The sequence below is a fragment of the Homo sapiens genome, chromosome 17, assembly GCF_000001405.40.
Source record: "Homo sapiens chromosome 17, GRCh38.p14 Primary Assembly".
NCBI lineage: Eukaryota > Metazoa > Chordata > Mammalia > Primates > Hominidae > Homo > Homo sapiens.
The window spans coordinates 81,243,887-81,258,684 of record NC_000017.11 but is presented as its reverse complement, the minus strand read 5'-3'; the positions used below and the strand labels follow the sequence as shown (position 1 = coordinate 81,258,684).

General features: G+C 59.1%; 1 protein-coding gene across 6 annotated transcripts in view, besides 5 other annotated features; it reads left to right on the top strand.

Moving 5' to 3' along the window:
• Positions 1-13,874, top strand: part of SLC38A10 (solute carrier family 38 member 10) — a 50,497-nt gene extending 36,623 nt beyond the window's left edge. For 3 of the 6 annotated variants that reach the window (XM_005257019.2, XM_011524288.2, XM_011524290.2), the window contains 6 exons: positions 5,445-5,612; positions 6,002-6,490; positions 7,073-7,192; positions 8,592-8,615; positions 11,624-11,800; positions 12,012-13,874. In XM_005257019.2, coding sequence (XP_005257076.1) covers positions 5,445-5,612; positions 6,002-6,490; positions 7,073-7,192; positions 8,592-8,615; positions 11,624-11,800; positions 12,012-13,129 — 2,096 coding nt within the window. In that variant the 3' untranslated portion in view covers positions 13,130-13,874. Of the gene's footprint in view, positions 1-5,444; positions 5,613-6,001; positions 6,491-7,072; positions 7,816-8,591; positions 8,616-11,623; positions 11,801-12,011 lie in introns of those variants that run through there. The other 3 variants (NM_001037984.3, XM_011524289.2, NM_138570.4) reach the window with 2 other exon arrangements.
• Positions 3,287-3,978: an enhancer, noted in NCBI's record as "H3K4me1 hESC enhancer chr17:79228507-79229198 (GRCh37/hg19 assembly coordinates)". NCBI's record gives its function as "activates a minimal SCP1, AML or CMV promoter by ChIP-STARR-seq in naive H9 embryonic stem cells {active_cell/tissue: H9 hESC(naive)}" and the evidence as "EXISTENCE:reporter gene assay evidence [ECO:0000049][PMID:30033119]".
• Positions 6,337-7,004: an enhancer, noted in NCBI's record as "H3K4me1 hESC enhancer chr17:79225481-79226148 (GRCh37/hg19 assembly coordinates)". NCBI's record gives its function as "activates a minimal SCP1, AML or CMV promoter by ChIP-STARR-seq in naive H9 embryonic stem cells {active_cell/tissue: H9 hESC(naive)}" and the evidence as "EXISTENCE:reporter gene assay evidence [ECO:0000049][PMID:30033119]".
• Positions 13,433-13,522: an enhancer, noted in NCBI's record as "active region_12959". NCBI's record gives its function as "activates an Ori minimal core promoter by ATAC-STARR-seq in GM12878 lymphoblastoid cells {active_cell/tissue: GM12878}" and the evidence as "EXISTENCE:reporter gene assay evidence [ECO:0000049][PMID:35858748]".
• Positions 13,733-13,782: an enhancer, noted in NCBI's record as "active region_12958". NCBI's record gives its function as "activates an Ori minimal core promoter by ATAC-STARR-seq in GM12878 lymphoblastoid cells {active_cell/tissue: GM12878}" and the evidence as "EXISTENCE:reporter gene assay evidence [ECO:0000049][PMID:35858748]".
• Positions 13,883-14,002: an enhancer, noted in NCBI's record as "active region_12957". NCBI's record gives its function as "activates an Ori minimal core promoter by ATAC-STARR-seq in GM12878 lymphoblastoid cells {active_cell/tissue: GM12878}" and the evidence as "EXISTENCE:reporter gene assay evidence [ECO:0000049][PMID:35858748]".

The window sequence follows — 14,798 nt, the reverse complement described above, 5'->3', positions numbered from 1 at the left end:
GGCGCTGACATGGGAGCTGTCGGTGGGATTGTGGTAGCCTGGGAGCTAGAGTCCAGTGTGCTGAGACCCTAGCCCTGGGCAGTGAGGGGTGTCGCCCTCGTCCAGCAGGCTGCCGGGGAGTGGACTTCTCGGTGCCAGCCAGCAGGAGGCTCCCCGTCCCCTTAGCACTGCGCCGCCTCTGCCTGCGGCCGGTGCAAGCAGCTGTATCCCGTCATGAGGCTTGTGCGGGCCGTGGGCCTCCGGCTCACCTGGTGCCCTCCGAGGCCACATCTGGTTTCTGTTTCTTCCACGAGGCTGTAACAAAACACATGGCCCCTCTCAGAACCACATGCTGCTTGTTTTTAGCGTGTCTCTGATTTTCCAGCCCCCGGCTCCCCCGTGATAGATGGGCTGCCGGGCTGAGGCTGAGCTGGGGTCGAGGGTCCTGCACCGATGTGCGCTCCCTGTCAGACTGCTGAGCGGAGTTTTATTGGTCTCTTTGATGCTGCAGAGGCCAAAGATGGTACCTGCTGACTGGGTGAGAGTCCTGCGTGGCCCTGGGCTGTGGCCGTGAATCCCATCCTCATGCAGATGTCATGTGTCGTGGTTAGACGCGCACAGCCGGGGCCCCATGCACGGCTTCACAGGCCTTTGTGAGCATGGCTGAGTCCCTGCAAAGGCTCATGAAGACAGTTACCTTGAAAGCTGGGAGTCGGGCCGTTCGTACCTGCTCTCTCTAGCACCCTGAAGGCTAGGGCTGGGTTCGGGTTTTGTGACATCTGTTCCTTTCTTGGAGCTGCAGGTCCCCTGTCCTCCCGGTGCCTGCACGCCCCTCCCTTGCTGCATGGGGCAGCACAGCAGGGCCCGCACCCCTCGGGCACCCTCGTCCCCGCTCCCCCAGCGGGGCAGGCACAGCTGCACTTCCGCTCCGTGGGAAAATGAGGCAGGGGCCTGGCTGAGAAGGGACCCAGAATGCGGTGATGTGGGACAGAAGGAGGGTCTGCTGGGTGTCGACGGGTCGTGTGTGTTGGTGCGGGGGCAGAGATGGCCACAGTTCTGTGTGCTCAGGCCCAAGCGGGGACACACAGCCCCCATGCGTGGAGGCAGGTCACGTGGCTCAACACAGGCCAGAGGCTGCAGGAGGCAGGGCCCTTCGGAATTCGGCCAGGTCCTGCACGGATGGCGGGGTGATCTCAGACAATGGAATCAGCTCCCTGCCATCTCAGGACAGCAACAGAAACATGACACAAAATTATAAGAGGAGGAGAGGCGCGGGGGACACAGCAAAGGAGCTATCAGAAGCCTTCTCCGGGCCGGTACAGCAGCTCACACCTGGAATCTCAGCACTGTGGGAGGCCAGGGCAGGAGGATCACCTGAGGTCAGGAGTTTGAGACCAGCCCAGCCAACATGGTGAAACCCTGTCTCTACTAAAAATACAGAAATTAGCTGGGTATGGTGGCTGGATGCTGAGGTGGGAGGATCGCTTGAGCCTGGAAGGTCAGGGCTGCAGTGAGCCGAGATGGCACCACTGCACTCCGGCCTGGGTGACAGAGTGGGACCCTGTCTCTTAAAAAGAAAACTTTCTCAGTAGGGCATGCAGGAGAGCTCCAGCAGGGTGGCGTTGTCCCCACAGTCAGAGGAGAGAAGGGAGAAGCATGTGGCCCTGTTTCTCACGGACCATTCGGTGCTCTGTGGAAGGAACTGGGAGCCTCTCCCGCCTCCCAGGAGACAGCAGTGGTGCCAGCCACGGCGGAGGCAAAAGCAGTGGTGAGGAGGTTCCGCCTGCCGGAGGCTGTACCAGGGCCTGGCTGTGTTGCCAGCCCAGACACCCGGGTACCAGGAGCCAGATAGCCTGGGATTCCCCCTCACATTCGCAAAGATCAGACCATGAGGTCATTGGTCAGCTGTGTGCTCAAGATTGGGCTGTAAAGCCAAGCCCTTCATGAGTAATACTTTCTCATGGCAGCATCAAGGGAAAGTCAGAAATCAGCTCTTAGAAAAGTTGCCTAAAAGCAGGGACTAGCTTTGAAGTCACGTCAGCGGCCATTGTTCTCACCTCTTGCGAGTGTGGCGCCCTGGGATCCCGAGCCTCCTCCTGAACTTGGGGCGGCACTTGAGTGGATGAGGCACTCCGTCCGTGGGATGCCGGGAGTGTGTTTAAAAGTCACTTCGTCTGGGGGCCGTCTGATGTGACTGTCTCCACCTTTACTGATCACAAAGTGCACAGAGGGAGCCATGGCGGGTCCAAGCCGGCAGCCCGCAGAGCCACCTTGCCGACTCTTGGGGTCCGGACGGCAGCGTCGCTGGCCTCCCCGCCCGTCCGTGCTGGCCTCCGGTCTGGGGTGGACGCCAGCCTTGAATGTGGGGTTGGGGATGCATTAGATGTTGCCCCTTCCCCTCCAGGTCACCACCTCCAAGTCCCCGAGCATGTCTGACTCCAAAGACCGAGCCCTGAGCTGTGGCCTTGGCAGCCTTGGGGCCTCCATGCCCGACTAGACAGCAGGGAGGAAAGTCTGAGGGATCCGCCTCCGCCGTGGCTGAGTTGTGGCCTCTGTCACTTGTTAGGAAGGTGTGTGTTTTTGTGGGTGCCAGGAGCTGGGAACCTGCGTCAGCACCTGGCAGTGAGGAGCCGCTGGGACAGCATAAACACAGCATTCCTGGCACCACGTGCCAATGATGGTCACGGGTCGTGGTTTCTTGTGACTGGAGATGATTTTTTTTTTGAGATGGAGTCTCGCTCTGTCGCCCAGGCTGGAGTGCAGTGGCACGATATTGGCTCACTACAGCCTCCACCTCCCAAGTTCAAGCAATTCTCCCACCTCAGCCTCTGAGTAGCCGAGAATACAGGCGCGGCACCACACCCGGCTAATTTTGTATTTTTGTTGAGACAGGGTTTTGCCAGGATGGTGTTGAACTCCTGACCTCAAGTGATCCTCCTGCCTCGGCCTCTCAAAGTGCTGGGATTACCGGAGTGAGCCATCATGCCTGGCCTGGAGGCGATTTTTGAAGCCAAATGAGGGAGGATGGTTGCCCTGCGGCAGCACCCTCTGCTGGGTGTTCCTGGGGGCGTGCGTGGAGCCATCCCCCTTGGCCGTGGCCGCCTCTACTGTGGCTTAGCCGGGTGTGTTGCTGGCCTTCTAGGAGAAGAAATTCGGATGCCAGAGATCTCCTCCCTCCCGAGGAGCTCAGTCGTGAGCTGGCGGGGGCACTCCCCATACAGGGCCCCTTTCTGTCTTTGCGCAACCTGTGTTCATGTTGAGAGTGGAAGCGGCTGGCAGCACTCGGACGTTTTTCAGTTGCTGATTTTGAAGTTTTGTGTTAGTTTTACTGCAGCCAAGAGGCACTGCCGGCAAACTGTCCCTGACGCAAAGATGGGCTCCGTTGTGGAGAAGGCTGTGTGCATTGCCCGCAGACAGCTGCAGAGCGCCGGGCATGAAGGCTGTGAGTGCAGCCCTTGGCTGGTCAGCTGCTGCAGGCGGCGGGGAGCCAGGACACTCGCACAGCCTTCCTGCAGGTGCCCGTGCAATCCAGCAACACTTGCAGAACGCTGAGAGGCGTGGCGTTCCCGGGAGGTTCTCCAAAGGGACCTCTGGGGCAGCTCCCGGCTCACCGTGCTCACTTCCCGTCCCGCGGCTCCTGCACCCACACAGAGCTCCCCCTGGAGCCCCAGACTGGTCATTCACGGCCTGAGGAACTGAATTTTGCTCCTGCTGAGAAAATGACTGCTCTGAGGCAACTTGTCCTATGACAACGGAGATTTCCTTTGTTTTGCTATATTTTCCCTTCCCCTCCCCAGCCTCCCTTTCTTCACTTAGTAATCCATTGGACAGGCCCTCTTGATTGACAGTTATGGCTTGTTTCCGCATGGGGCCTCTGCCGAAGCCTAATCGTGTGATGGAGACCAGTATGTTTTCACCTGCTCAGGCGGGTGGCCATACGCTTATAGAATTGGTCACTTGGGCCAGGCGCGGTGGCTCACGCATGTAATCCCAGCACTTTGGGAGAATGAGGCGGGTGGATCACTTGAGGTCAGGAGTTTGAGACCAGCCTGGCCAACGTGGTGAAACCCTGTCTCTACTAAAGATACAAAAATCAGCCAGGCATTGTGGCAGGTTCCTGTAATTCCAGCTACAGGAGGCTGAGGCATGAAAATTGCTTGAACCTGGGAGGCAGAGGTTGCAGTGAGCCGAAATTGTGCCACTGCACTCCAGCCTGGGCGACACAGCAGGAGTCCATCTTAAAAAAAAGTTGAATTTGTTACTTTAACTAAACTGTAGAGCCTAGCGTCTGCTTTCTGTTAACTAGTTTATTACCCAGTAGGGTGGTACCTTCCCTCTACAGTTTGTCTAGGACTCTCAACTCCAAACTGACAACAGTGTAACTGTCTGTTTCCCTAGACTAACATATCAGGCTGCTCTTAGAAGGCTGGTAGAAAGCTAAGCTAATTGTCCCCATTTTCTTCTCCTATGGGAGCTGGTGAGGCCCCATCTGCTGCTCTGAACTGGACTCTGTGTGAATTCTTCCTCAGACAGCTTCACCTGAGTCCCCCTCGGCTGCAGCGCCTGTCTCAGTGGACATATGGCCTTGCTGGGACAGGGAGGTGGTGATGGCGGTGGTGGTGGTGGTGACGGAGGTGACGACGATGATGGAGGTGATGGCAGTGACGGTGGAGGTGACGGTGATGTAGGTGATGATTATGGAGGTGGTGGCAATGATGCAGCGATGGTGGTGGGGATGGAGATGGTGGTGGTGATGACGATAATGGAGGTGATGGCAATGATGGTAGGGTTGGCAGTGATGGTGGTGATGGTAGTGGTGATGGTGATGATGATGGTGATGGTGGTAGGGATGGAGATGGTGGTGATGATAGCGGTGATGGTGATGATGGTGACGGTGATGATGATGGTGATGGTGGTAGGGATGGAGATGGTGATGATGGTGACGGTGATGATGATGGTGATGGTGGTAGGGATGGAGATGGTGATGATGGTGATGGTGATGGTGATGATGGTGATGTTGGTGGTAGGGATGGAGATGATGGTGATGATGGTGATGTTGATGGTGGTAGGGATGGAGATGATGGTGATGATAGCGGTGATGGTGGTGGTGGTGGTGGAGGTGACGGTGATGACGGTGATGATGGAGGTGATGGTAATGGAGGGGACTGTGGGAGAGTGGGTCGGTGGGCTCGTGCCGCCATCTGGTGGTAATGACTGAGTATTACATGGAGTCTAGTTCTCCCTGCCCCCAGTTAGGTGTAAATCGCATTTTGACATATTTTTGTTGTGAATACACATGAAAAATGACAGTTTTCTGTGCTACTTAGCTGCTAATGATCGAACAGGAAAAAGAAACTGCTTTGACTCTGCCATTTGGCTGGAAAATATGGTAACAGTCCAGGGAGAGCTGCCCCGCTCCTGGAGCTGCTTGGCAGTGCAGTTCCCTAACTGTGCCCTGCTCCCAGCCCAGGATCCGGTTGTGGCCGTGGCTGAGGATGGCCGGGAGAAGCCGAAGCTGCCGAAGGAGAGAGAGGAGCTGGAGCAGGCCCAGATCAAGGGGCCCGTGGATGTGCCTGGACGGGAAGATGGCAAGGAGGCACCGGAGGAGGCACAGCTCGATCGCCCTGGGCAAGGTGCTGGGCACTGGCTGGGGGTGCGGATGGGGAAGGGCGGCCCCGGGTCCTCCTTTGCAGGCTGGACACCCTGCGGGGTGGCTCTCAGGGCTGTGTGTATCTTTTTCCCTTCAGCCCAGCCTAAGTTCTGGTCCTTTTTGTTTTCTCTGTCTTTCAATTCAGATGAATGTCCTGCCCCTCCCAGAGCAACTTGTTTGCAGCTGCCCCTGTTGAACTTTAGCATCAGCTGTGCTTGGCCAGGCAGCAGGGAGGCCGGCAGGGGAGGTGGTATCTGTTGGCCTGTGTCACACTGTTGGGAGCCAGAACCCAGGGAAGAACCCAGTTCTAATTCCCTGGGAAGGGAAGGAGGGGCCTCAGCCTGACCCCATCTGTCCCCCGTGCCCTTGCAGGGATTGCTGTGCCTGTGGGCGAGGCCCACCGCCACGAGCCTCCTGTTCCTCACGACAAGGTGGTGGTAGATGAAGGCCAAGACCGAGAGGTGCCAGAAGAGAACAAACCTCCATCCAGACACGCGGGCGGAAAGGCTCCAGGGGTCCAGGGCCAGATGGCGCCGCCTCTGCCCGACTCAGAAAGAGAGAAACAAGAGCCGGAGCAGGGAGAGGTTGGGAAGAGGCCTGGACAGGCCCAGGCCTTGGAGGAGGCGGGTGATCTTCCTGAAGATCCCCAGAAAGTTCCAGAAGCAGATGGTCAGCCAGCTGTCCAGCCTGCAAAGGAGGACCTGGGGCCAGGAGACAGGGGCCTGCATCCTCGGCCCCAGGCAGTGCTGTCTGAGCAGCAGAACGGCCTGGCGGTGGGTGGAGGGGAAAAGGCCAAGGGGGGACCGCCGCCAGGCAACGCCGCCGGGGACACAGGGCAGCCCGCAGAGGACAGCGACCACGGTGGGTGTCAGCCTGGGCTCGTGTCGGAAGACACTCCCCTCTTGGGCTGGGGAGGCTGGGCAGGGGCAGCAGAATCGATGGTTCCTCCCTCAGTCCCCAGTCTCTCTCCCTGCACCAGATTAGCATGCAAATGGAGCGGGCCCCGGCAGCTGGTGGGGACAGGAAGAGGCTGGTGGCTGACAGCTACTGTAATATCTGTCACACAGTTGTTTGCCAGACCACTAAATGTCAGGTGCCGCGCTGTGCTCGTGTGTCTGGGCGCACACGGGGGGCGGCGCGGGGGGCGCCTGACAGGTAACACGTTGTTAAGTGCCCGTCTAAGAGCTGCTTAGGACAGTTCTTGCATTTTAATTGCGAAGGCAGTTACCATTGGCTCATTGCCACAAGCCTATGAGGTTGTTAAATATTTTTTTATTGCTTCGCTAGTAATCATCAGGTTGAATATAAACTGTGCTGACGGGGGTGTCACTTTAGAAACATCTGCCACTTCCTTTTGTCCCGCCCTTGCCTTCTGTCCCCCAACCCCCCAAACCCTCCCTTGACTTTCCTGCAAAACCTTCTGAGTCTTCACCGTGTGTGCAGGTGGGAAGCCTCCCCTCCCAGCGGAGAAGCCGGCTCCAGGGCCTGGGCTGCCGCCCGAGCCTCGCGAGCAGAGGGACGTGGAGCGAGCGGGTGGAAACCAGGCGGCCAGCCAGCTGGAGGGTAAGGCCTCCGCCCTACAGCCGCCTGCCTCAGGCCCAGGGAGCGGCAGCCCCCTCCCCCAGCCCTGGGGTGATGCCCAGGTCATCCTCGGGAGCCCTGCCAGGCCCCCCTTCTCTTTCCAGCCGCCTGCTGAGCAGACCCCTCGGAGAGCTTTCTGCTCCCTTCCCATCAGCAGCTTGCTTTCTGGGAACCTTTTATCTGCCTTACTCCCCTTTAAACACCTGCGGCATCGTCACATGGCTTGTGATTACCGTTTTATCTCCCTTGCTCCCCTTTAAAACACCTGCGGCATTGTCACTTGGCTTGTGATTACCATTTCGTCTTTAAAGCAGGTTTGTTAACAGTTTTAACACTCGGAGTATTTAAAGCCAGCCAGGTGTGGGCGTGCCTGCACCCAGATGTGGAGGTTTATTTTAAGGCTGTGCCCCAAGGGGACCCAGTTTGGGGGTGGCTGTGCCCGCCCTGGTCCTAGCATAGCCCTGGCCCAGAGCACTGCTCCCACACCCTCGGGCCTCGGAGCTCGGCTGTGTTCATCTACAGGGATCTGTCACCTGTCCCTCCAGGAAAGCTCCTTACGCCTTTGCTCTCCTGAGAATAAAACTTGCTCTGAATCCTCCTCCAAACTTCTCGCCCCTTGGGTCTCAGCTGTTGGCTTTTTGCGACCCCTCCTTGTGGCCTCATGCAGTTGGGTAGCAGCAGCCCCGTCTGTGAGCCTGCTGGGGACAGGCTTCTGTGCCATGTCCTCTCCCAGGCTAGGGGTCCACCCGCCCTCTGAGGGTGTGTGGCTGGGCCCCCGCTCACCAAAAGTCACGTGCATTTGGTGGCAGTGTCCAAGCCTTCTCTCAAGATGGTCAACCCTGCCCCATGCGGGGTCCACGTGTGCCTCAGCATTGAGAGGGTCTGTTCCAGGGATCTGTGTGGGGGTCGCAGGGCACAGCCGCTCCAGCCTCCTGTGCCAAGCCCCTGGGAGCAGGTGTGGGAGCTCCGGGCCAGCCCTGGCACGGGCACCTCCCAGGATGTTCGTAAGACACACGCTTCCTGCCCGCGCATCTTGCCCTGTGGCCTCAGGACAGCCGGTCCGAGGGAGGGCAGGTGCAGCAGCCACGTCCCAGTCGCTGCGGCCTGGCTTCTCCAGGTGCAGCTCGCCCTCCTTGCACCTGCAGCGCGGAAGGCAGAGCCAAAAGGCGCCCCCTGGGCTCCCGGAGCTCTGAGCCACTTCAGGAGTTCGGGCATGTGGGGTTTTGTCTCCGGTTTTAGTCTGGCCATGTTTGTTGGTTCCAATTCCTATGCTCTGTTACCTGAACCTGTTTGATTCTTTTGATTTTCTTCTTTCTGAAAAAGACTTTTCACGGTTTCCTATTCTGCCTTTCTTCCGTATGCCTCTCAACGGGACGAGCAGCTGAAATTAAAAAGATAGTAGCAGGTACGAACCCAAAGGAGTGTGCTGAAGTCAAGAGCCTGTCTGGCGGGCCACAGACCTGAGCGCAGCCCCTCGGTGGCACACCTGCCCCAGGGACAGCCCTGCATGGGGACACGTGTCAGGCCCCAGACCTGCGCACGCACCCAGGCTCAGCCACAGCCCCTCAGGCAGGGTCCCGATGCCCACTCTGCTCCCTTGTGTTACAAATGCCGTGGTCCTTCTCAGCCCTGCTGTGGCCTTGCCTGTCATCAGAGGGCAGCTGGTCTCTGCAAGCGTCTGAGTGCAGGCTGCTTAGGGCACCAGCCAAGGGGGGACGCTGCCTGCACTGCTGCCTCATGGGCCACCTTGACAGATCTGCATGGGTCTCAACAGGTGGGTGGCTTCGTGCCTTCTGCAGCCCAGTCCCCGTGGTCTTGGTGGGCTCTGGCTGTAGGAACAGCCTGTCTCCTCCACGGTGCTTCACATGTGTCCCACGTGGCTTCTGGCTGGACGTGGCATGGCTCCTTCCCCCCTCCCCCTCTTTTTTCCTCCTCTTCCTCTTCCTTCCTCCCTCCTCTTCCCTCCTCCCTCCTTCTCCCTCCTCTTCTCTCCTCCCTCCTCTTCCCTCCTCCCTCCTCTTCCCTCCCTCCTTCTCCCTCCCTCCTTCTCCCTCCTCTTCCCTCCCTCCTTCATCCTCCTCTTCCCTCCCTCCTGCTCCTCTTCCCTCCCTCCTCCTCCTCTTCCCTCCTTCCTCCTCTTCCCTCCTTCCTCCTCTTCCCTCCTTCCTCCTCTTCCCTCCTTCCTCCTCTTCCCTCCTTCCTCCTCCTCCCTCCTCCTCTTCCCCCACCTTCCTTCTCCCTCCTCCTCTTTCTCCCTCCCTCCTCCCCCTCCCCCTCCTCCCTTCTGTCTCCTCTTTCCTCCTCTTCCCAGCACCAGGCCCAGGGCTAGTCCTTTGAGGAGCAAGTGAGGCCATGGTGCCTGCTCTTTCGGAACCCTGCCCTGGAGTATGGGGAGGTGTCACCAGCACATGGGATCTCGTCCTTGTACCATTGACATTCCGTGGTTGAGCCCCGCAGCACCCAGGGCGAGCACGTGGCCCACGGCCGAGGTGGCTGGTCTGCCACCTGCACTTCCTCCTGTGAAAGGAGGTGTGCGGGAGACCTGCTCTGCCCGTCATGGCCTTTCCCTGCAGGCAGGCGTCTGGCCCGGGGTGCTAGCAGGGAGCAGGGGCTGCTGCTTGAGGGCCGGCCCCATGGCCCTGATCTCCTTGGAGCCAGCCCTGTCCCCCACATCCAGGGGTCTGGGCGAGGCCCAGGGCTGCGTTCCTGGGAGAATGCTGACCCTGCACTTCTCTGGCTGGTCATGGTGTCACCACTGGGGAGGCTGGGCCGGCACGTCAGTCTATGCCTGGCATGCAGGGCCGTCCCTGAGATATTTGCTCTCACCACTCACAAAACATCCTTCTCGCTCCTGGATTGAACTTTTATGCCTCACAGCCCTAACCCATCATTTTTCAAAGCTTCCTATAATAATTTGAAAACATCTTGTAAAAATGACATAAGTCACAGCCGCTTGCGGCAAATAACTGGCCAGTGTTGAAGCGAGTCAGACCGGGTGCTCCTGCACCAAGTGTGTGCCAGCCGTAACCCGGGCAGGCCTGTCCTCTGGCCCTTGCTGCAGGCACCAGCTCTTAACACGGGGTGCACTGGGGCTCCCCATCACGCAGGACCTGCCCAGAATTTCCACAGTGGATGGTGTTCAGGAGCGGTGGTTAGGATGGCTGGCGGGGGCCTCACTGACGCTCCAGCTCCCATGCTCCCCTTAGAAGACAGCTTTTGGCCGGGTGCGGTGGCTCATGCCTGTAATCCCAGCACTTTGCGAGGCTGAGGTGTGCGAATCACGAGGTCAGGAGATCAAGACCATCCTGGCTAACACGGTGAAACCCCATCTCTACTAAAAATACAAAACATTAGCCGGGCGCGGTGGCGGGCGTCTGTAGTCCCAGCTACTCGGGAGGCTGAGGCAGAAGAATGGCGTGAACCCGGGAGGCGGAGCTTGCAGTGAGCTGAGATCGCGCCACTGCACTCCAGCCTGGGTGACAGAGTGAGACTCCCGTCTCAAAAAAAAAAAAAAAAAAAAAAAAGACAGCTTTTGTTTGTTTTTAAAATTCTCATCTCGGAGGAAACTTTCTAGAAGTACCAATATTCTTTTCAAAACATAGCTTACAGTTTTTCTTTTCTTTTTTTCTTTTTTGAGACAGGGTCTTGCTCTGTTGCCCAGGCTGGAGTGCAGTGGTGTGATCACGGCTCACTGCAGCCTCGACCTCCTGGGCTCAAATGATCCTCTGGCCTCTGCCCCCCGAGTAGCTGGGAGTACAGACGCCTCTCACCATACCCTGATCATTTTTATTTTTTTGTTTTTTTTGTTTTTGTGGAGATGGGGGTCTTGCTATGTTTCCCAGGCTGGTCTCTAACTCCTGGGCTCAAGCGATCTGCCTGCCTCCGCCTCCCAAATTGCTGGGATTACAGGCGTGAGCCGCCGTGCCCAGGCTTATTTTCTTACGTGCTTGTCCTAGAACAACTGAATGTGTAAAGTGGAAAAAACAAAAACAAAACCCCACCCAGCCCAGATAACCATCTCTGACATTCTGGCACATTCCTTTTGACTGTTGCTCTGGACACTCACTTCCATGGGCAACGAGCAGGCTTGCTGGGGTCCTGCCGGGTGCGCCTGGGGCACAGCCAGTGGGAGAACTGATGCGGCACAGTGGCTGGCTGTGCGGGAGAGGCCATCCCGGGTGGGCTTCCAGGGGCAGTCAGGGCGCAGCCTCTCCCGGGCCCTCAGGCCTGCGTGCATCACTGAGCTGTCCGGGCTTCACGGTCACAGTCATGATGGGTGTCACCAGTGGCCAGTGTTCGGGCACACTCCCTGCAGGTGACCTGTGCGTTGCCTTGCTGTGGGCCGCGCCGTCCCTGGCCCAGCACGGTGCATGAGCAGCCCGGGCACTCTGACTGTGTGCTTTCCAAACCCAGAAGCTGGCAGGGCGGAGATGCTGGACCACGCCGTCCTGCTTCAGGTGATCAAAGAACAGCAGGTGCAGCAAAAGCGCTTGCTGGACCAGCAGGAGAAGCTGCTGGCGGTGATCGAGGAGCAGCACAAGGAGATCCACCAGCAGAGGCAGGAGGACGAGGAGGATAAACCCAGGCAGGGTAGGCCGGGCTGGCGGATGGAGTGGGGTGGGGCCAGGCAGGGGGTCTCCTGCTGTCCTCATGCGGCTGGGTCTGAGGCTCGGTGGCCTCTAGACCTGAGCGTGAGTCTGGTTTTGGTTCCCAATGCTGTTGTTGCTGGTTCTTCTGAGCCCCTCCACTGGCAGCCTGTGTACAGTGCTGTGGCTAAATTGATGACCGACTTCATTTGCAGTGGAGGTGCATCAAGAGCCCGGGGCAGCGGTGCCCAGAGGCCAGGAGGCCCCTGAAGGCAAGGCCAGGGAGACGGTGGAGAATCTGCCTCCCCTGCCTTTGGACCCTGTCCTCAGAGCTCCTGGGGGCCGCCCTGCTCCATCCCAGGACCTTAACCAGCGCTCCCTGGAGCACTCTGAGGGGCCTGTGGGCAGAGACCCTGCTGGCCCTCCTGACGGCGGCCCTGACACAGAGCCTCGGGCAGCCCAGGCCAAGCTGAGAGATGGCCAGAAGGATGCCGCCCCCAGGGCAGCTGGCACTGTGAAGGAGCTCCCCAAGGGCCCGGAGCAGGTGCCCGTGCCAGACCCCGCCAGGGAAGCCGGGGGCCCAGAGGAGCGCCTCGCAGAGGAATTCCCTGGGCAAAGTCAGGACGTTACTGGCGGTTCCCAAGACAGGAAAAAACCTGGGAAGGAGGTGGCAGCCACTGGCACCAGCATTCTGAAGGAAGCCAACTGGCTCGTGGCAGGGCCAGGAGCAGAGACGGGGGACCCTCGCATGAAGCCCAAGCAAGTGAGCCGAGACCTGGGCCTTGCAGCGGACCTGCCCGGTGGGGCGGAAGGAGCAGCTGCACAGCCCCAGGCTGTGTTACGCCAGCCGGAACTGCGGGTCATCTCTGATGGCGAGCAGGGTGGACAGCAGGGCCACCGGCTGGACCATGGCGGTCACCTGGAGATGAGAAAGGCCCGCGGGGGGGACCATGTGCCTGTGTCCCACGAGCAGCCGAGAGGCGGGGAGGACGCTGCTGTCCAGGAGCCCAGGCAGAGGCCAGAGCCAGAGCTGGGGCTCAAACGAGCTGTCCCGGGGGGCCAGAGGCCGGACAATGCCAAGCCCAACCGGGACCTGAAACTGCAGGCTGGCTCCGACCTCCGGAGGCGACGGCGGGACCTTGGCCCTCATGCAGAGGGTCAGCTGGCCCCGAGGGATGGGGTCATCATTGGCCTTAACCCCCTGCCTGATGTCCAGGTGAACGACCTCCGTGGCGCCCTGGATGCCCAGCTCCGCCAGGCTGCGGGGGGAGCTCTGCAGGTGGTCCACAGCCGGCAGCTTAGACAGGCGCCTGGGCCTCCAGAGGAGTCCTAGCACCTGCTGGCCATGAGGGCCACGCCAGCCACTGCCCTCCTCGGCCAGCAGCAGGTCTGTCTCAGCCGCATCCCAGCCAAACTCTGGAGGTCACACTCGCCTCTCCCCAGGGTTTCATGTCTGAGGCCCTCACCAAGTGTGAGTGACAGTATAAAAGATTCACTGTGGCATCGTTTCCAGAATGTTCTTGCTGTCGTTCTGTTGCAGCTCTTAGTCTGAGGTCCTCTGACCTCTAGACTCTGAGCTCACTCCAGCCTGTGAGGAGAAACGGCCTCCGCTGCGAGCTGGCTGGTGCACTCCCAGGCTCAGGCTGGGGAGCTGCTGCGTCTGTGGTCAGGCCTCCTGCTCCTGCCAGGGAGCACGCGTGGTCTTCGGGTTGAGCTCGGCCGTGCGTGGAGGTGCGCATGGCTGCTCATGGTCCCAACACAGGCTACTGTGAGAGCCAGCATCCAACCCCACGCTTGCAGTGACTCAGAATGATAATTATTATGACTGTTTATCGATGCTTCCCACAGTGTGGTAGAAAGTCTTGAATAAACACTTTTGCCTTCACCCAGCCTCGGTGGATGCTGTTTGGTGTCCAGGAAGCACAGGGAGCAGGGGCCAGACAAGCCGGGTGTCCAGGGGCACTGGCCGGTGCCGCCCTTTGCACTCCTCATGGTTGGCCCAGCCCTCCATTGTCTGTGTTTTTCAAAATCCAATTGTGGCTTTTTTTAAAAAGTAAAAAACACCACTGATAACCTGATTAGTGAAGTTGGTCCTGGGGGAGTGACTGAAAGGAAAGCCTGAGGCCGGCTCAGGATTCCAGATGTGTAAAGCAGAGGCCAGAGGTCATGAGGGAACGGCGCCATGACCTGAGCGTCGCAGTGACTGGACACTAGACGCAGCACAGCCCCAGAGAGACCCTGTGAGCAGGCAGAGCCGCCTGGTGCCAGGAGGTGGTCCAGCCCCCAGGGCCAGGCTGACGGGCGTGCTGCCTCGTGACCAGGACACGCTCCACAGCCCTCTCACCTGGCGGGAGAGAGGAGGTGCTGCTGTGTCCACAGCATCCGAGTCTGCTTTGGCTCGTCCTCTGGGGAGCTTGCGCCCCAACCCTGCCACGAAACCCTGCCACGAAGGGCAGAGGACCAGGGCCTGGGTCTGGGGGAGGCCCGTGTTGGCGAAGGGTCCCTGCATGGAGGGCCGGCCTCAGCCTCTGGTGGTGTCTTCCTGCACCTTTTGATATCCTTTTGGCTCTTTATTATAGTTTCTTCCCTTGAAGGATGTCACTGGGCAGCCTGAAGACTGGAAATTTTTTTTCTTTTGAGACGGAGTCTCGCTCTGTCACCCAGGCTGGAGTGCAGTGGTGTGATCTCGGCTCACTGCAAGCTCCGCCTCCCGGGTTCACGCCATTCTCCTGCCTCAGCCTCCCGAGTAGCTGGGACTACAGGCGCCCGCCACCACGCCCGGCTAATTTTTTTTTCCGTATTTTTAGTAGAGACTGGGTTTCACCATGTTGGTCAGGCTGGTCTCGAACTCCTGACCTTGTGATCCACCCGCCTCAGCCTACCAAAGTGCTAGGATTGCAGACTTGAGCCACTGCACCTGGCCTGAAGACTGGAAATTAACTAGAGGGAAGCTTCTGGAGGCTGAGTGGTGACTCCTGCCGAGCCTTGGGGGCTGGGAGGGG